This window comes from Homo sapiens, chromosome 1 (genome assembly GCF_000001405.40).
Source record: "Homo sapiens chromosome 1, GRCh38.p14 Primary Assembly".
NCBI classification, from domain to species: Eukaryota; Metazoa; Chordata; class Mammalia; order Primates; family Hominidae; genus Homo; species Homo sapiens.
The window spans coordinates 84,978,954-84,999,733 of NC_000001.11; the positions used below are offsets into that span (position 1 = coordinate 84,978,954).

General features: G+C 40.9%; 1 protein-coding gene across 6 annotated transcripts in view, besides 6 other annotated features; it reads right to left on the reverse strand.

Moving 5' to 3' along the window:
• The window catches only part of MCOLN2 (mucolipin TRP cation channel 2), a 71,531-nt gene extending 53,371 nt beyond the window's left edge, over positions 1–18,160 (reverse strand). For 5 of the 6 annotated variants that reach the window (NM_153259.4, NM_001330647.2, XM_047416964.1 and 2 more), the window contains exon 1: positions 17,843–18,160. In NM_153259.4, the coding sequence (NP_694991.2) occupies positions 17,843–17,919 (77 nt within the window). In that variant the 5' untranslated portion in view covers positions 17,920–18,160. The remainder of the gene's footprint in view (positions 1–17,842) is intronic. The other variant, XM_005270719.4, reaches the window with a different exon arrangement.
• Positions 6,356–6,435: an enhancer, noted in NCBI's record as "active region_1262". NCBI's record gives its function as "activates an Ori minimal core promoter by ATAC-STARR-seq in GM12878 lymphoblastoid cells {active_cell/tissue: GM12878}" and the evidence as "EXISTENCE:reporter gene assay evidence [ECO:0000049][PMID:35858748]".
• Positions 12,684–12,763: an enhancer, noted in NCBI's record as "active region_1263". NCBI's record gives its function as "activates an Ori minimal core promoter by ATAC-STARR-seq in GM12878 lymphoblastoid cells {active_cell/tissue: GM12878}" and the evidence as "EXISTENCE:reporter gene assay evidence [ECO:0000049][PMID:35858748]".
• Positions 16,643–16,702: an enhancer, noted in NCBI's record as "active region_1264". NCBI's record gives its function as "activates an Ori minimal core promoter by ATAC-STARR-seq in GM12878 lymphoblastoid cells {active_cell/tissue: GM12878}" and the evidence as "EXISTENCE:reporter gene assay evidence [ECO:0000049][PMID:35858748]".
• Positions 17,503–17,552: a silencer, noted in NCBI's record as "silent region_1027". NCBI's record gives its function as "represses an Ori minimal core promoter by ATAC-STARR-seq in GM12878 lymphoblastoid cells {active_cell/tissue: GM12878}" and the evidence as "EXISTENCE:reporter gene assay evidence [ECO:0000049][PMID:35858748]".
• Positions 18,163–18,452: a silencer, noted in NCBI's record as "silent region_1028". NCBI's record gives its function as "represses an Ori minimal core promoter by ATAC-STARR-seq in GM12878 lymphoblastoid cells {active_cell/tissue: GM12878}" and the evidence as "EXISTENCE:reporter gene assay evidence [ECO:0000049][PMID:35858748]".
• Positions 19,023–19,894: an enhancer, noted in NCBI's record as "H3K4me1 hESC enhancer chr1:85463659-85464530 (GRCh37/hg19 assembly coordinates)". NCBI's record gives its function as "activates a minimal SCP1, AML or CMV promoter by ChIP-STARR-seq in naive and primed H9 embryonic stem cells {active_cell/tissue: H9 hESC(naive and primed)}" and the evidence as "EXISTENCE:reporter gene assay evidence [ECO:0000049][PMID:30033119]".

Sequence of the window (20,780 nt, forward strand, 5' to 3'; positions counted from 1 at the left end):
CTGATGTTTGAGGGCTGCAAGCATCCAGCATGGGAGAAAGACATAGGGTGGAAGACTAGGCCAGTCTCTCTTTTCACATTTTTCTGCCTGCTTATTCTAGCCCAGCTGGCAGCTGATTAGATTGTGTCCACCCAGAATAAGGGTGGGTCTGCCTTTCCCAGCCCACTGACTCAAATGTTAATCTCCTTAACACCCTCACAGACACACCCAGGATCAATACTTTGTATCCTTCAATCCAATCAAGTTGACACTCATATTAACCATCACAGCTTCACTGTTGAATTCTACCAAATGTTTAAAGAAGAACTAATACCAATCCTACTCAAACTTTTCTGAAAAATAGAAGAGGAAACAATGCTTCCAAACTCATCCTATGAGGCCAGTATTACCCTGATATCAAAACCAGACAAAGACACATAAAAAAAATTACAGGCCAATATCTCTAATGAATATTAATGCAAAACTCCTCAACTAAAATACTAGCAAACCAAATTCAACAACACATTAGAAAGATCATTCATCATGACCAAGTGGGATTTATCCCTGGGATGCAAGGATGGTTCAACATATGCAAATCAATCAATGTGATGCATCATATTAACAGAATGAAAAATAAAAACAATATGATCATTTCAATTGATGCTGAAAAAGCATTTGATAAAATTCAACATTGCTTCATGATAAAAACCCTTAATAAACTGGATATAGAAGGAATATACCTCAACATAATAAGAACCATATACAGCATACCCACAGCTAGTATCATACTGAATGGGGAAAAACTGAAAGCCTTTCCTCTCAGATCTGGAACACAACAAAGATGCCTACTGTCACCACTGTTATTCAACATAGTACTGGAAGTTCTAGCTAGAGCAATCAGATAAGAGAAAGATATAAAGGGTATCCAAATTGGAAAGGAAGAAGTCATATTATCCTTGTTTGTAGATGAGATGATCTTATATTTGGAAAAAAACTAAAGACTCCACTAAAAAACAGTTAGAACTGATAAACAATTTTAGTAAAGTTGCAGGACACAATATCAACATACAAAAATCAGTAGCATTTCTATGTGCAAGAGTAAGCAATCTGAAAAAGAAAATTAAAAAGTACTCCCATTTACAATAGCCACAAATAAAATACCTAGAAATTAACTCATCCAAAGAAGTGAAAGATCTCTATAATGAAAACTGTAAAACACTGATGAAAGAAATTGAAGAGGACACCAAAAATGGAGAAATTTCATGTTCATAAATTGGAAGAATCAATAGTGTTAAAACGTCCACACTCCAAAGGAATCTACAGACTCAATGCAATCCCTATCAAAATATCCACGACATTCTTCATAGAAATAGAAAAAAACCCTAAAATTGATATGGAACCACAAAGAACCCAGAATAGTCAAAGCTATCCTCAGCAAAAAGAACACAACTGGAGGAATCACATTATCTGACTTCAAAATATACCACATAGCTTTACTAACCAAAACAGCATGGTATTACACAGATACAAAACACAAAAACAGATACACAGACCAATGGAATGGAATAGAGAACCCAGAAACAAATCCACACACCTACAGTGAACTCATTTTTGACAAAGGTGACAAGAACATAAACTGGGGAAAAGGCAGTCTCTTAAATAAATGGTGTTGGGGAAACTGGATATCCATATGCAAAAGAATGAAACTAAACCCCTATCTATCACCATATACAAAAATCAAATCAAAATGGATTAAAGACTTTAAGACCTCAAACTATGAAACTACTACAAGAAAACACTGGGGAAAATCTCCAGGACAAAAATTTACTGAGCAATACCCCACAAGCACAGATCCAAAGCAAACATGAACGAATGGGACCAAATCAAGTTTAAAAGCTTCTGCACAGCAAAGGAAACAATCAACAAAGTGAAAAGACAACCCATAGAAAGGGAGAAGATATTTGCAAACTGGAGATTAACAGCCAGAACATATAAGGAGTTCAAACAATTCTATAAAAAATAACCTAATAATCTGGTTATGGCAAAATGGGCAAAAGACTTGAATAGACTCGTTATGTCTCAAAAGAAGACATACAAATCACAAACAGGGATATGAAAAGGTGCTCAACATCACTGATCACTAGAGAAACGCAAATCAAAACTACAATGAGATATCATCTCACCCCAGTTAAAATGGCTTTTATCCAAAAGACAGGCAATAACAAACACTGGTGAGGATGTTGAGAAAAGGGAACCCTCATACACTGTTGGTGGGACTGTAAATTAGTACAACCACTATGGAGAACAGTTTGGAGGTTCCTCAAAAAACTAAAAATAGAGCTACCATATGATCTAGCAATCCCACTGCTGGGTATATGCCAAAAATAAAGGAAATCAGTAATATCGAAGAGATATCTGCACTCTCATGTTTGTTGCAGACCAGATCACAATAGCTAAGATTTGGAAGCAATCTGTATGTCCATCAGCAGAAGAATGGATAAAGAAAATGTGGTACATACACACAATGGAGTACTATTCAGCCATAAAAAATGAGATCCTGTCATTTGCAACAACATGGATGGAACTGGCGATCATTATGTTAAGTAAAATAAGCCAGGCACAGAAAGGCAAATACCGTATGTTCTCACTTATTTGTGTGATCTAAAAATCAAAACAATTAAATTCATGGACAGAGAGAGTAGAAGGATGGTTACCAGCGGCTGGGAAGAATAGTGTGGCAGAGAGGTGGGGGATAAAGGGGCAGTAGGGATGGGTTAATGGGTACAAAGAGAAAGAATGAATAAGACCTAGTATTTGATAGCACTCCAAGGTGACTACAGTGAATAATAATTGTACATTTAAAAATAATTAAAGAGTATAATTGGACTGTCTGTAACACAAAGGATAAATGCTTGAGGGAATGAATACCCCATTTTCCATGATGTGATTATAATGCATTACATGCCTGTATCAAAACATCTGATGTATCCCATAAATATTACATCTACAATGTACCCACAAAAATTAAAAATAAAAGATAAAAAATTATTGCAAAAAATTACGTTTATTGTAAAACTAATGTAAGCCTAAATTAATATCAAAAAATAGGAGAGCTAACACTCTAAATGTTGTTAGCCATGGGTTTTTTTTTTTTTAAAAAAAAGATGAAAAGTGTATCTGATTTGAAAAGAAGCTGGGGTGGGGGGAAGCAGATTTATCAAGAAAACAATTTAAAATATTGGTTAAATCTACTACTGCTAAATGAGGTGCATGGCTCTAAATATATAGTACCATAAGATATTTGCTAATGACACTATGAAGTCATAACATAAAGTTGCTGCATTTGGCAATTCATTTTTTTATTTTAATTTTTTAAAATAAAAAAATAGAGATGGGGTCTCACTATGTTGGCCAGGTTGGTCTTGAACTCCTGGCCTCAAGCAAGCCTCCGGCCTTGGCCTCCCAAAATGCTAGGATTACAGGCAATGAGCCACCATGTCCAGCCTGGCAATTCATTTTTAATATCCTCATCTATCCCATGCCTTAAAATGTTCATTTTATCTGTTTCATAATATACATATGGTTCAGCATATGATATGTAAATGAATACGTATTTAGAGAGGGTAAATGTTCTTTCAACTGTTGGGAACAAGTTATAAAAAATATTTGGAACTACTTCCTTATTGTTTCAGAGCTCCAACCACCCCTTAGCTGTGGTTGTTCTTTGTTGTCCTAACTGCTATTATAAACTTGTTAGCTTTAAAGAAATTTATGTTTGTTCCCCTGACCCCAACAAACAAACAGAAAATACAGAAAATGGAGTACAGTGGTGCGATCTTGACTCACTGCAACCTCCACCTTGCAGGTTCAAGCAATTATCCTGCCTCAGCCTCCAGAGTAGCTGGGACTACAGGCACCTGCTACCATGCCCGGCTAATTTTTTATTATTATTATTTTTTATTTTTAGTAGTGACAGGGTTTCACTGCGTTGGCCAGGCTGGTCTCGAACTCCTGACTTCAGGTGATCCACCCACCCTGGCCTCCCAAAGTGTTGGGATTACAGGGGTGAGCCACTGAGTCCGGAAGAATTTTTTTTTTTTAATTCACAAGTATATCTTACCAGTCTCAGGGGATGGGGCAGGGTAGGCAGGGCAAATCACTTCCCAAATCTATCCTTCATTTTTATCCTCATCACAGTGAGTGGTAAGCCAGCCTCCCAGGTCTCCACACCAGCAACCCAAATCTGTGTGGCTCTGCACAATCTGGTCTCACCTAACTCCCCACCACCTTTATTTCCCCCAAATTTAATAATGTACACAACTGTATTTTTGTTTTTCTTTTCTTTTTCTTTTTTTGAGATAGGATCTCACTCTGTCACCCAGGTGGGATTGCAGTGATGCAATCATGGCTCATTGCAGCCTTAACATCCTGAGCTCAAGCAATCCTTCTGCCTCACTTCCAGAGTAGCTGGGACCATAGGTGTATGCTGCCATGCCCAGCTTATTTTTTATTTTTTTGTAGAGATAGGGTCTTGCCACGTTGCCCAGACTGGTCTCAAACTCCTGGATGCAGATGATCCTTCCCCCTGGCCTCCCAAAGTGCTAGGATTACAGGTGTGTGAGACACTGCGCCTGGTCTGTACATAATTTTAAATGAATTATTAATAAACCCCACCTCCGATTTCTGTTCCTTAGGTGCAACTACTTTTATCTGTCTTTTTAAAAGTCATTTACTTTAAAATTTCTTTTTTTTTTTTTTTTTTGAGACAGAGTCTTGCCCTGTCACCCAGGCTGGAGTGCAATGGTGCGATCTCGGCTCACTGCAACCTCCGCCTCCCGGGTTCAAGCAGTTCTCCTGCCTCAGCCTCCCGAGTAGCTGGGATTACAGGCGCACGCCTCCACGCTCAGCTAATTTTTGTATTTTTAGTAGAGACAGGGTTTCACCATGTTGGCCAAGCTGGTCTCGATCTCCTGACCTTATGTCCACCCACCTCGGCCTCCCAAAGTGCTGGGATTACAGGCGTGAGCCACTGCGCCCAGCCCTACTTTAAAATTTCTAAATAATACTTATGCCACTATTTTTTCATTTTAGGTATTATCAATTTGAATCCTCCCTTGGAAAATATGGATTTAGCTCTTATATCTGCTCCCCAACATACATTTCACCTCCCTACTCATCTTCCCAACCAAGTTTTAATGCAAATTTTGGATAAATTAACATTAGATTTTATGAAGTGAATATGTAAAAATTCTTCAGAGTTGAGCTATTAACATACTGTAATGTTATATTCTTCATCATTCCAACTATTTTCCTGGAATTAACTGCCCTTTTCCCCATTTGTTTAGTTTTCTGCATACCAACTATAACTTTATCACCAAACTCTGGCTGAATCTGACAGCACCCTTAAATACACACAAGCCAGGTACCCTGTCAATTCCTTTCTTCCACAGAGAGACATCAATGCTTTTGCACAATCCTTTTGCTCAAATCTACCTGGTTGCTTTCTAATCACTTTTCAAGGCCATAACTTTGGGAACTCCTTCACCACCTTCCTAAATTGGAATCCCCATCTCTTGGATCCCATGTCTGCTTCTTTCTTTACTCTCTCATTTTGTGGAGAATATTCTTCAATCCCTTCCTGGGAAAGGAAGCCTGAAAAGTAAATTGTTAAGACTTCCTGTGACAGACACTACTAGTTGCCTGCGCAGTATCCATTCCTCTCTTCCTGTTTTGTTGAAAGCAAGCAATATATTAATACCAAAGGATAAAATAACTCAATATGGCCAAATGTGGTGGTTCTTGCCTGTAATCCTAGCACTTTGGGAGGCCAAGGCGGTGGATCACTTGAGCTCAGGAGTTTGAGAACAGCCTGGGCAACATGGCAAAACCCGTCTGTACTAAAAATACAAAAAGTTTGCTGGGCATGCTGGCTCGTGCCTGTAGTCCCAGCTACTTGGGAGGCTGAGGTGGGAGGATTGCTCAAGTCCAGGGAGGTCGAGGCTGCAGTGAGCTGTGATCACACCAGTGTACTCCAGTCTGCAACAGAGCAAGACCCTGTCTCAAAGAAAAATTGAAATAAAATTAAAAATGTGTGACATTTTGGCAAACAGCCATCCTAGTCCATACATTCAAGAAACTTCTACATGGTCATATTATCAAAATGAGGAAAAAAAAAAAAGTAAAGCCATCTGATGGAACGAACCCAGCATTTACCTCCTCAAGCTGACTTTGTGGTACAGATTCTCTAGAACAAACACTGGGTTCCCATTTCTATTACTCCATTAAAATGCTCAGGGTAAACCATTTCTTGCTATAGATTCTAATAAACACTTTTCAGGCTTATTGGCTCAGCAGCATTTGATACAGCTGACCACTACCTCCTTGGGACAACCTCTTCTGTCAGTTTCCAGGACACCCCCCTCCTCTTGATGTCAGAGTGCCTTGGGGCACAGTATGGGTTCTTCTAGTCTCCATCTTCTGTTCTAAAACAGCTTGTCCAATCCTATGACTTTAAATACTCTCTACATGATGTGGGTTTCCATATTTGCATCTCCAGCAAATCTCTCTCTTGAGCAGACTTCCTTATCCAACCCTTTTTATGAAACTCCACCCACAGGTCTAATTGGTCTCTCAAACCTGCCCTCCACCTGCTCCTCCACCCATCTGCTCAAAGCAGTGATCTGTACACACTTATTCAAATGCTTCAGCTGCTGACCAAGCTGAGAATCAAATAAAGAACTCAACCCCTTTCACAACAGCTGCAAAAAAAACCAAAATTTAAAATTAGGAATACACTTAACCAAGGAGGTGAAAGACCTCTACAAGGAAACCTACCAAACACTGCTAAAAGAAATCATAGATGACACAAACAAATGGAAACACATCCCACGCTCATGGATGGGTAGAATCAATATTGTGAAAATGACCATACTGCCAAAAGCAATCTACAAGTCCAATGCAATTCCCATCAAAATACCACCACCATTCTTCACAGAACTAGGAAAAAAAATCCTAAAATTCATATGGAACCAAAAAAGAGCCTGCATAGCTGAAGCAAGACTAAGCAAAAAGAACAAATCTGGAGGCATCACATTACCTGACTTCAAACTATACTCTAAGGCCACAGTCACCAAAACAGCATGGTACTGATATAAAAACAGGCATACAAACCAATGGAACAGAATAGAGAACCCAGAAATAAAGCCAAATACTTACAGCCAACTAATCTTCGACAAAGCAAACAAAACCATAAAGTGGGGAAAGGATACCCTATTCAACAAATGGTGCTGGAATAATTGGCAGGCCACATGTAGAAGAATAAAACTGGGCCGGGCGTGGTAGTTCACGCCTATAATCCCATCATTTTGGGAGACCGAGGTGGGCAGATCACCTGAGGTTGGGAGTTCAAGACCAGCCTGACCAACATGGAGAAACCCTGTCTTTACTAAAAATACAAAATTAGCCAGGCATGGTGGTGGCGCATGCCTATAATCCCAGCTACTAGGGAGGCTGAGGCAGGAGAATCACTTGAACCCAGGAGGCGGAGGTTGCAAAGAGCCAAGATAGTGCCATTGCGCTCCAGCCTGGGTAACAAGATCAAAACTCCATCTCAAAAAAAAAAAAAAAAAAGCTTCTGCACAGCAAAAGAAACAATCAGCAGAATAGACAACCCAATGAGTGAGAGAAAATCTCACAATCTATACATCTGACAAAGGACTAATATCCAGAATCTACAAGGAACTCAAATCAGCAAGAAAAAAAAATAATCCCATCAAAACGTGGGCTAAAGACATGAATAGACAATTCTCAAAAGAAGATATACAAATAGCCAACAGACATACGAAAAAATGCTCAACATCACTAATGATGAGGGAAATGCAAATCAAAACCACAATGTGATACCACCTCACTCCTGCAAGAATAACCATAATCAAAAAATCAAAAAATAGATGTTGGCGGGGATGGGGTGAAAAGGCAACACTTTTAAACTGCTGATGGGAATGTAAACTCATACAACCACTGAAAACAATGTGGAGATTCCTTAAAGGACTAAAAGTAGAACTACTATTTGATCCAGCAAGCCCACTACTGGGTATCTACCCAGAAGAAAAGAAGTCGTTATATGAAAAAGATACTTGTACACGCATGTTTATAGCAGCACAATTTGTAACTGCAAAAATATAAAACCAGCCCAGATGCTCATCAATCAATGAATGGATAAAGAAAAGGTGATATATATAGGCATATCTATCTATCTATCTATCTATCTATCTATCTATATATATGGCATATATATACAGCTATATAGATATGTATATAGATATACATATAGATGTATATATATATCTATATACATATGCCATGTAGATACATATACATCTATATGTATATAGATATATAGATATATGTATATAGATATATGTAGATATATATCCATATATTTATATAGATATATACATATGTATATAGATATATTTATATATGTATATACCTATATACGTATATAGATATATACATATATACATATATGTATATATAGATATATATACATATATACATATGTATACATAGATGTATACATATGTATATATGTATACATCTATGTATACATAGATGTATACATCTATGTATACATAGATGTATACATAGATATATACATATGTATATAGATGTATATCAATCTATATATACATATGTATATATGTATATAGAAATATATACATACATATGTATATATGTATATAGATATATAGATGTATAGATGTATATAGATTATATATACACCATTGAATGCTACTCAGCTATAAAAAGGAACAAAATAATGGCATTTGCAGCAACCTGGATGGATCTGGAGACCATTATTCTAAGTGAAGTAACTCAGGAATGGAAAAACAAACATCATATATTCTCACTTATAGGTGTGAGCTAAGCTGTGAGGATGCAAAGGCATAAGAATGATACAATGGACTTTGGCGACTCGGGAAAGGGTTGGAATGGCGTAAAAGATAAAAGAATACAGACTGGGTACAGTGTACACTGCTTGGGTGATGGGTGCACAAAAATTTCAGAAATCACCACTAAAGAACTTATTCATGTAACCAAATGCCACCTGTTCCCTAAAAACTACTGAAATAATTTTTTTAAAAGAAATGCATTGCTATTAGTATTTTTAAAAAATGCTTCAGTTGGAATCCTTAGTGCAATCAGTGGCCCAGCTGCAATCCTTAGTCCATTCTCCATCTTGGGTGCACAGCAGAATCATCTGAGGATTTTTTTTTAATTTTAATTTTTGCTTTTTTAAATGGAGACAGGTTTTGCTATGTTGCACAGGCTGGTCTTGAACTCTTGGACTCAAGCAATCCTCCCACCTCGGCCTCCCAAAGTGCTGTGATTACAGGTGTGAGCCACTGTGTCCAGCCCACCTGAGGATTTTTAAAATATTTCAGCGCTTGCCTCTCAGCCCCAAGACATTCTGATTTAATTAGTAGGATGACTGAACTGGGCATCAAGATTTTTATAAGTTACTCAGGTGATTCTAATGTGTAGCAAAGTATACTTTGCTCTAAAGTATACTGCTCTAAAGTATACTTTGAGTTCCCTTTGTATTCAATTCTCACATTCAATTTATCAAGTTTTCCTTCAAAACCACAAGGAGTGGTCCCCATCACTGTCTATGCACTGCAGCCTCCCTGGTCCAAGCACTGTCATCTCTTACCCAACTGCAATAGCCTCCCAATTCTTCACATAGTGGCCAGAGGGGTAATTTTAAAAGCATAAGTCAGATATCACTTCTTTGTTGAAAACCCTTTAGGGGCTTTCCCCTTCTCTCAGAGTAAAATCCAAACCTCCTACAACTGCTAAAAGACTCCTGCCCACTCCTCCCATACCCTCTTCCCCTTCCTCACTACACAATGACTTCCTTCCTGGGTGTGGACAGTCCCCGCTCTGCACATTTCACTCACCATTTCATCCACCCTACTGCTGTTCCCCCAGCTCTTTGTGTGTCTGGTTTCTTCCTGTCACCCTTCATCTCTCAGCACAAATGACACCTCGGTAGAGAGGGCTCTCTGGCCACTCTATTAATGTGGCCTTCCCCACTGCCTCTATCATCACTTTATTTCCTTCATAATTGCAATCACAATCTTTATTGGTCTCCCCTACAATGGACTTCATGAAGGGTGGGTCTTGTTTATAACCATATAGCCCAGCATACAGCATAGTATCTAACACATAATAGGTGTTCAATGAAAATCTGTTGGAAAAAACAAATGAATCAATAATGAGACATCAATCTTGACTACACGAACTTTTCCTTGGTTAATATCTTTTGTGATCAAATAATAATAACAACAATATTAATAACATGATAAAAATAATAGAAAGTCTAAAATATTAGTATTAAAAAGTGAATTAAAAATATATTTAAAAGTAAGTCTTACTTAGTCAAGATACATTAGCAAGTTGTAGGTAATTTAGTTGCCTGGTTTGCTGATGATAGAAACCCTACTTTGTTTTACTCATTATTCCTAGTCTTTCCAAAGAATAAATTATTCAATGAGTTGTTATTAAAATAATTTGCTATCCATTTGGGAAAGAGAAAGAGTATTCTCTCAAACTGAGTGCAAAAATAAAATTTAGACATATTTTTAAAACAAAATTGATAGTAGTATAATATATAGGATTTTTAAAATAATTTAACATGCCTTTTTAAGTACAAAAAAATTTAGAAGATGTAAAAATGACTGAAAGATCTTAACATAAAAATTTAAGACTTCAAAAAGTTAAAAGACAAAGAGATTTGGAGAAAAATGTGCAATATATTTACACAGGCAAAAGTTAACTATCTATTGTGATCTGTAAAGAGCTCCAGACTATTAAGAAAAAGACAATCCAATGTAATAGGCAATGAATCTGAACAAGCCAGTGAACATTGAACAATAAAAATTTACTAACAATCAGGTTGGTAAAAACCTATCTTAATTTTTATTTATGAGGAATGATTTTCAAACTATTAAAAGAAATGTAAATTTGGATTGGCACTTGGGCAGTATCTATAAAAGTGACTTAAGAATCAAACTTCTGGGCCGGGCGTGGTGGCTCACACCTGTAATCCCAGCACTTTGGGAGGCCAAGGCAGGCGGATCACGAGGTCAGGAGTTTGAGGCAAGTCTGGCCAACATAGTGAAACCCCATCTCTACTAAAAACACAAAAAAAATTAGCCGGGCATGGTGGTGTGCTCCTGTAATCCCAGCTGCTTGGGAGGCTGAGGCAGGAGAATCGCTTGAACCTGGGAGGCGGAGGTTGCAGTGAGCTGAGATCGCGCCACTGCACTCCAGCCTGGGCAACAGAATGAGACTCCATCTCAAAAAAAAAAAAAAAAAAAAAAAAAAAAAATACCTAATGCTAAATGACGAGTTAATGGGTGCAGCACACCAGCATGGCACATGTATACATATGTAACTAACTTGCACATTGTGCACATGTACCCTAAAACTTAAAGTATAATAATAATTAAAAAAAAGAATCAAACTTCTATGGATTTATAATACAAATTTTAAAATAATGAGTTAGTTATAGAAATGTTAATTGCGGCCCTATTCGTACCTTTGCACTGACTTGAAGATGTCTATAACATATTGTAATTTTTTTAAAGTTACAGAATAGATATAGTGAGATCTCATTTTTCAAAAAATGTCAGCATAAGCTGGGCATGGTGGCTTAGGCCTGTAATCCCAGAGCTTTGGGAAGCTGAGGCAGGAGGATCCCTTGGGCCCAGGAGTTTGAGACCAGTCTGAGCAACATAGGGAGACCCCCATCTCTAGAAATAATAATAATAATTAATAATAATAAGCTAGCCAGGAGTGGTGGCAGGCACCTGTAGTCCCAATTACTTGGGGGGGCTGAGGCAGGAGGATCGCTTGAGCCTTGAAGTTTGAGGCTGCAGTAAGCTGTCATTGTGCCACTGCACTCCAGCCTGGGTGACAGAACACGACCCAGGCTGGAAAAAAAAAAGCTAGCATTTATATGTGTATATAGACATTTTAAAGTCTAGAAGCATGTGAGCCAGCCAAAAAAGCCTCCATATTTTTATAATCTCTGTGAAGTAGTATTATAGGTAATCTTAATTTTCTTCATTAAGTTTTCCATATTTTTTTCATTTTTGGTGGTTAACGTATGAATTCTTGAGTTATTATTATGAGTTAAAATGGGCCATTTCAAAAAGAAAGAGTCTGGTATGTATCAGCTAGTCAGGTATTTCCCTGCCTTAGTTTGTGCACGACTGGTTTGGGGTAGAGGGTGGAAGAAGTGATAGATACGGAGACTAAAATTCAATGTTTCTACAGTAATGACTGTGTTGGCCCCAGGATAATACCAGGGGCAGTTCAACAGATAAAATGCTTTAGACCATTCCTAACAACTCGCACGTCATTTTTTCACTCCAATTCCTACGATGAACAAATTTTCTCGTGATCTGCTAGTCTCACAAGAGAGGAAGAAAGAAAAATATCTAGCCAACTGAGGTTTTGAGGTAGCTGAGTAGGGCAGGCAGATGTCAATTAAGTGAAGTTGAGGGGAAAAAAGGCAAAGAAGAAAACTTTGGTTCCCTTCTCAGCACAGCTCTCAGAACATAAATGACATGGTCATTCTAACCCTAAGAAGCCCCCTGAAGAAAGGCCATAGGGGCTTTTCATTTTCCATTAGAGCCACTCATGAAAGATGAACATGCTAACCCTTCAGGAGTTTTCCTACAGACAACCGTGCCACCAAGTTCCTAAAAATCACCTCTGATCACCACTTTGCTGCCTCTGAACACCAGGAAAGCAGAACTAGGGCTGCATACTTTTAAAGTGCTTCTTCTAAACAAGCCACACTCCTTTGGAAACTAGAAGAAACAGTTCTCTGAGGAAGAGATAAAGAAAGGGAAACTCCATTTCTCAGCAATAAAGGATTCCACATGCAGTTAAAACTGAGGAAGATGACTGGAATTATGACATTTCCTAACATTTTTCTTTCTCCAATATTTTCAGTAAGAGCCCAACTTAATAGAGTCATGCTGATGACTCTCCCTAAGGAAAAGAAATTATAAAGAAATAATCATTTTTTCCTCAAAGCATTGAGGTTACCTTAATTTTGGACAAGCCCAACTCAGTTTCATGTTGGTGAATCCCTACATTCTAGCTATCTCTAGAAAATCCCTGTAGTTGGCATAAGTAGTACAATTTTTTAAGGCCACCATTTAAATTGTGGGTCTTCTAGAATTACACCAAAGACTATTTTCAAGAATCTTCTGCCTCATGAGTTATCAATTATTGCCTCGCAGATGTTTTAGGCTGAAATTACAGAGATGTATTCAAGGGGAGAAAACAAAACACAACCTTCAAAAGAGAAGAAAGGAAACAGCCCACCCAGCTGAGGGAAAAGGAATATGGACAACATTCGCTGGACACAGTCTCTCATACCAGGAAAAAAGGGGCTGAGGCCCAAGCTCAAAACAGAGTAGAAAGCTCAGCTATAGGCAGGCTGAGAAGAACGGGAAGAAAAAAAAATTCAGATGATTGCCAAAGCAAACAAATAAACAAACCAAAAACATGGCTGTAAACATTTAATACTGAACAGAACATTGTAGTTTGATAAGATGAAGTCTGGAAATAAAATTACAGGCACACCTCAGAGATATTGCAAGTTTGGTTCCAGATCACCACAATAAAGCAAATACTGCAGTAAAGCAAGTCACACAAATTTTTTGGTTTTCCAGTGCATATAAAAGTTATGTTTACACTATACCATAGTCTATTAAGTCTGCAATAGCATTATGTCTAAAAAAACCACCTTAATTTAAAAGTACTTCATACTAAAAAATGCTAACAATCATCTGAACCTTCAGCAAGCTGTAATCTTTTTGCTGGTGGAGGGTCTTGCCTCCTTGTTGATGGCTGCTGACTGATCAGGGTGGTGGTTGCTGAAGGCTGGGGTGGTTAGGGCAATTTCTTAAAAGAAGACAACAATGAAGTCTGATATATCAATTAACTCTTCCTGTCACAAAATATTTCTCTGTTGCATGCAACGCTGTTTGATTGCATTTTACCTACAGTAGAACTTCTTTCAAAATTGGAGTCAGTCCTCTCAAACCTTGCTGCTGTTTTATCAACTATGTTTACGGAATATGCTAAATTATGTGTTGTCATTTCAACAATGTTCATAGCATCTTCACCAAGAGTAGATTCCATCTCAAGAAACCACTTTCGTTGCTCATCCATAACAAACAACTCCTCATCCATTCTAGTTTGATCATGAGATTGCAGCAATTCTGTCACATCTTCAGGCTTCTCTTCTAGTTTTCTGGGTATTTCCACCACATCTGTGGTTAGCAGATCGCTGCAAAAGTAATTGTGTTTTTTTGCCATTAAAAGTAAGGACAAAACCCACAATTACTTTTTCACTGACCTAATACTTCCTCTACTGAAATCTGGACCCCTTCAAAGTCATCCATGAGGGATAAAATCAACTTCTTCCAAACTCCTGTTAATGTTAATATTTTGACCTATTCCCATGAATCATGAATATTCTTAATGGCATCCATGATGATGAATCCTTTCCAGAAGGGTTTACTTTGTCCAGATTCATCAGAGGAATAATTTTCGATGGCAACCTATAATGTTACAAAATGTAGTTCTTAAATAATGTCTTTTTTTTTTTTTTTTTTTTTTGAGACGGAGTCTCGCTCTGTCGCCCAGGCCGGACTGCGGACTGCAGTGGCGCAATCTCGGCTCACTGCAAGCTCCGCCTCCCGGGTTCACGCCATTCTCCTGCCTCAGCCTCCCGAGTAGCTGGGACTACAGGCGCCCGCCACCACGCCCGGCTAATTTTTTGTATTTTTAGTAGAGACGGGGTTTCACCTTGTTAGCCAGGATGGTCTCGATCTCCTGACCTCATGATCCACCCGCCTCGGCCTCCCAAAGTGCTGGGATTACAGGTGTGAGCCACCGCGCCCGGCCAAATAATAAGTCTTGAAAGTTGAAATTACTCCTTGATCCATGGGCTGCAGAATGGATGTTGTGTTAACATATATGAAAACAACATTCATCTCCTTGTACATCTCCATCAGAACTTTTCAATGATCAGAGGTATTATCAATGAGCAGTAATATTTTGAAAGAAATCTTTTTTTCTGAGCAGTAGGTCTCAACCATGAGCTTAAAATATTCAGTAAATCATGCTGTAAACAAGTGTACTGTCATCTAGGCTTTGTTGTTCCATTTACAAAGCAGAGGCAGAGTAGATTAACATAATTCTTAAGTGCCCTAGGATTTTTGGAATGGTAAATGAGCACTGGCTTCAACTTAAAAGTCACCAGCTGTACTAGTTCCTAACTAGAGAGTCATCCTGTCCTTTGCACCTTTGAAATCAGATGCTGGCTTGTCCTCTCTACTAGGAAAGTCCTAGATGGCATCTCCTGCCAATAGAAGGCTGTTTTGTCTACATTGAAAATCTGTTGTTTAGAGTAGCCTCCTTCATCAATGATCTTAGCTACATCTTCCAACTAACTTGCTGCAGCTTCTATATCAGCACTTTCTGCTTCGCCTTGCACTTACATGTTATAGAGATGGCTTCCTTTCTTAAAGCTCATGAACCAACCTCTGCTAGCTTGAAACTTTTCTTCTGCAGCTTCATTACCTCTCTCAGCCTTCACAGAATTGAAGAGAGTTTGGGCCTGCTCTAGATTATGCTTTAGCTTTAGTGAATGTTGGTGCTGGTTTGATCTTCTATCCAGACCACAAAAACTTTCTCCATAACAGCAATAAGGCTGTTTTGCTTCCTTATCATTTGTATTTTCACTGGAGTAGCACTTATAATTTCCTTCAAGAACATCTCATATGCATTCAAAACTTGGCTAAATGGCACAAAATGCCTAGCTTTTGGTCTGTCTCAGCTTTCAACATACCTTCCTCACTAAGCTTAATCACTCCTACCTTTAAAGTAAGAGACCTGTGATTGTCCCTTGCACTCAAACACTTAGAGACCACTGTAGGGTTATTAGTTGGGCTAATTTCAATATTGTGGTGTCTCAGGGAATAGAGAGGGTTGGGGAGAGGAAAAGAGATAGAAGAATGGCTGGTCGGTGGAGTAGTCAGAACACATACAACATTTATTAATTGAGTTCCCTGTCTTATATGGGCACAGTTCATGGCACCCCAAAACAATTACAGTAGTCACATCAAAGATCAGTGGTCACAGATCACCATAACAGATATAATAATAATGATGAAAAAGTTTGAAATATTGAGAGAATTGCCACAATGTGACATAGAGACACAAAGTGAGCACATGCTGTTGGAAAAATGGCACCAATAGACTTGCTGGACACAGGGTTGCCACAAACCTTCAATTTGTAAAATAAAATAAAATTGAATTAAATGCAGTATCTACAAAGTGCAATAAAGCAAAGAACAATAAAACAAGGTATGCCTGCACTTTTTTCTATGAACCCCTTAACATGTGACACAAGAGCTCACTAAAGAGTGATTTAATTCTTCAGAACTGACACACGGAACTTAGACCCTAGGCCTTAAAGAAAACAGCCCAGCTTCAGGAAAGTCCACTTTTACTTTTACAGCCAGAAGAGTTTTCTTTGGCCACTACTTTTACTTTGAAAGCTATAGTCACAAGAAGCCATCTCTTTTTCCGCCGGTTTTAAAATTGTCTTGTTCTAGGTTTCACTTCACTGACAGAGACATAGCCAAAGAGATCAGCTTGTGAATATGATCATTCTTGACTTTCAGTTCTGTATTTCGTGCCCCTTTGCTCAAACTATGTCTCTCAGTTCTTCTCACTTGCTTCATTAAAATATTTTATATCTATTACTCTATTTTTTTAAAAAAAAACACTTTTGATATGTTCCTCCTTCACAGAAAAGAATGTGGCTACCTCAAACACTTTATTAGGATTCACTCATTTTTTATTACAGGAGGTTAAATAAAATTGGTATTATGATGGCCTCTGTATGGAAAATGTGTCGTTTTTAGAGTTCCGGCCACAGAAACTGACCTATGAACGGTTTTCTAAAGGAGAAGGGTGTGCCTGTGGAAAGTTCACGGCAACGGGAGTTTGACTCCTCTTAAGGTATGAAGAGGAAGACAGGCTAAAGTCTCAAGAAACTTCTGACTCAATAGGGGAAAGCTATCAAATTTCCCAAAAGTTGTGCGATTTTGGTTAGCACATCACAAAGGTGATGAGCAGCTCCTGAGAGTGAAACCCACATCCCATTTCTGGGGAGAACTACGTAGTTGGTTCCCTCTACATAAAATATCAGAGTCTACATCCTGACACCCATAAGAAACCTCTCCCACCTTTCTCTTACTAACCTTTTCTTCCATTCTCAGTTTACAATGACACACAATTTTGTTTCCCACAAGTACCGTTCAACCAGAGACACACACACTTACACATACGTATATATTTCATATATATATATATATATATATATATATATATATATATGTTTGGAGAGCAGGAAACGGGGGAGCCAAGGTCTGTTTGTACTCACAACTTTGGCTCAACTGTGCTGGGGTGGCTGGAGGTTTGACCACGGAGGAGGGGCCCGCTGGCAGCGCCAACCGGCTGAACTGTGCGCCTTTTCATAAAGGCCGAGGAACTGGGGTTAGCCACACTACAACCCTCCCACCTGAGGGAAAGGCCTGTTTGTTCTGGAAGGCACAGCCTAGCCTTATTTAACTAACTGCAAGCAGTTAATATAAGCATTCCCAAGGCAGCAAGCAAGCTCTAGTCTACGAAAGTAAAGCCATCGACTTTAGGAAGATTTCTCCAGTCCAGCATCCTGAAAGATGAAGCCCAGACTCCTCACCTGACGGTTAACCTGAAAACACCTGATCCTCTCTCCGGAATCCTTGCCTGGGGAAAACGATAAGGCTGCCGGGCCATGCCTCCTCCTTCAAAACTTTCCAGGGCTCTCGGGATTCGGAACAGGAAACACCGTTCACGGCCGACTCATTTCGCCCTCGCCGTAACGCGTCCGCCGAAGTTGGAGCCCTGCAAAGCGGGGTTCCCTTCTCTTACCCTTTCTGCCGGCCGCGTGGTGCGCGCAGACCCCGGCCCGAGAGCAGGCGCCGCAGTCGTGGAGTGCGGCGGGCAGTTCTCGGGCGGCTGAAAGGCGGCTCTGTGTGCACCCTGCAGGATGCGGCGCGTGGCCAGGCGCTCCCGCCCCGCCCCCAAGGGGCTGCCCCGCCCCGCCCCGCCCCGCCGCCTCCTACCGGGGACCGGAGCTTCCCCAGTTGGGGTCCTAGGGGACTTATTCCACGCTTCAGCGGACCAGCCTCCCCGCGCTCCCGGAGAAGGGGGTCGGCGACGCGGAGGCGGGGTGGGGGCCGTAGGGGATGGAACCGAGGCGCGCGCGAGAAGAGCCGAGGAAGTAAGCAGTCCCAAAAGGGGGCGGCGGTGGGGCCCCCAGGGAGGCGTGGGGCACGCCAAGGGCGCCGTGGGGCACTGACCTGTGGTGCGGCCCCCAGGACAGGCCCGAGGCGCGGTTGCACACCGGCAGGTCCAGCACCTCCATGCCTCGAGGCATGGCGCGGCCAGGGAGCGGCAGGAGGACACCTAGCGTGGGACGGCTACACCTGTCTGGGCGCAGGCCCGCCGCCCTTGCACTCTCCACCCAAGTGCCCAACGCTGCGGTACGGCCCGCTTTGGCTCGGGGTGTCTGCCGGAGAAGCGCCTTACAGAGGGACCCGGGCGGTGGGCCCTGCGGCAAAGTGGCCCACGCACCCTCCACACCGCTCCCGGGCGGCCGCACCTGGCACTCCCGGCCCTCTGGGGTTCCTGCCTTTTTCGGGGGGGTGGTGGTGAGACCGGGTCTCACTCTGTCGCCTGACCTGCGATCACTGCTGACTGCAGTCTTGAACTCCTGGACCCAAGCGATTCTCCTGCCTCCGCCTCCCAAAGTGCTAGGATTACAGGTGTAAGCCGCTGCGCCTGGCCCCTTCTTTTCTTCACTCTCTCATGCATTCATTTCTTGTTTCCACATGCATTAATTTGTCCGTTGCTTTGGTCATTCCTGTTTTGATGCTTAGGGAAACACTCACTGAGAGCCAAGCCGACCGTTGGGTACTGTGGTCTCTGGGATGACAAAGACATGGTCCTTTCCCTTGAGGACTTCACATTAAACTGACAAGTTCATTCATTCTGGCTTTTCTCTAAAGTGCACGATCATGAAAGTCTGTGACAAGGGCCATATTTCTGAGATGTTAGAAAGTGCGACCGGCGCGCAAGGAATAGGAAAAGCGAGTTGCCCTGCGCCCGCGTCGGGATGAAAGGCAGGGAGCCGGGAGGGAGCGTCAGCGTGGCCCGGCGGGCGCGGAGGGAGGGCGCACGGCCCCAGGGCTGGACTCGTAACCCCAGCGCCCTGCTGCAGCCGCCGTTGCTTTTCCCTCTTGGTGCACGAAAGGAAGACGCCTGTGGGAAATCGAACAGACAATCGGTCGCCGTTCGTGAATCTTAGAGATGAGAGTCGTCAGTACATGACCAAAAGCCGTGTTCGGCTCCTAGTGATGTTAGCTTGGTAGTTTGGACGTGGCCGACAGCCTCCTAGAGCTCGTACCCCTCCTTTTCACGAGGTAGCAGCAGCAAAGTCCGCAGTGCCAGGCTCTGTGAGTCTGCAAGCGTTTAAAAGATCTCCGGGTTTAGCTCAGGCAAAGAATATTCTGCCAGGTAATTATTTTAATATGCGTGTCCAGGCAGAAGCAGTTGGACAGACGATGTATATAAAAGCACACATAATTGACCCTCTTTTAAGGCACTTCCAAGGGGTTATTAGGCAGAAATGCCTTGGTTTTGAGCCCCTTTCATCGGAGGTGCGCAATCATCCAGCTTTGTGAATAGTAACTGCACTCCAGCCTGGGCAACATAGTAAGACCCCAACCTTTTGGCACCAGGGACTGGTTCCATGGAAGATGATATTTTCCACGGACAGGTGGGGGGATGAGGGGAGGATGTTTTCGGGATGAAACTGTTGCACCTTAGATCAGTAGGCATTAGAGTCTTATAAGGAGCACACAACCTGCAACTTAGATCCATCGCATGCGCAGTTCACAGTAGGGCTTCTGCCCCTATGAGAATCGAGTGGAACCGCTGCTCTCTTGCTCAATGTTCACTTCCTGCAGCGCGGCTTGGTTCTTAACAGGCCACAGACCTGTACCAGTCTGGAGCCCGGGGTTTGGGGACCCCTGCAGACGGAGAAATAGTTTCAAAAGGGAGATCTGAGGATCTCAAACATTAATGTGCATATGAGTCACCAGAGTTTTTATTGAAGCAGACTGATTCAGTAGGACCTGAGGTTTTGCATTTCTAGCAAGAAGATGCTCCTGCTGCTGCTGCTGCTGCTGGTCCCACTCTGTAAGTAGCAAGGTTCTAAGAAATATTTAATCTGAGTGTGTGCGGGAATTAAGGGGGGAGAAGAGTAAGAGTGGAAAATTACTGGAGTCAGATGGCTGAAGGATTTATTATAAATATAACACATACTAAAGTTTTCAGCCATTGAATCTAATCATTCTCAATTAGTAAATTTAATTCTCAGTAGGCATTAAGTTTTTAACTTTCAAAAAGTCACTTGTTTGTGGTAAAGATCATGGCTCATTTTTCAGTGTGTAGTAATAGACATTGTTTTGTGCTATGTTAATCCTTTCAAGCATTTGTGTTCTGTTCTGAATATCATAGCACAAAAAGCTTTGTGTCCTGACTCAAATTTGTAATGACCAATAACCAAATAACACAAGAATCTTTTGCTCAAC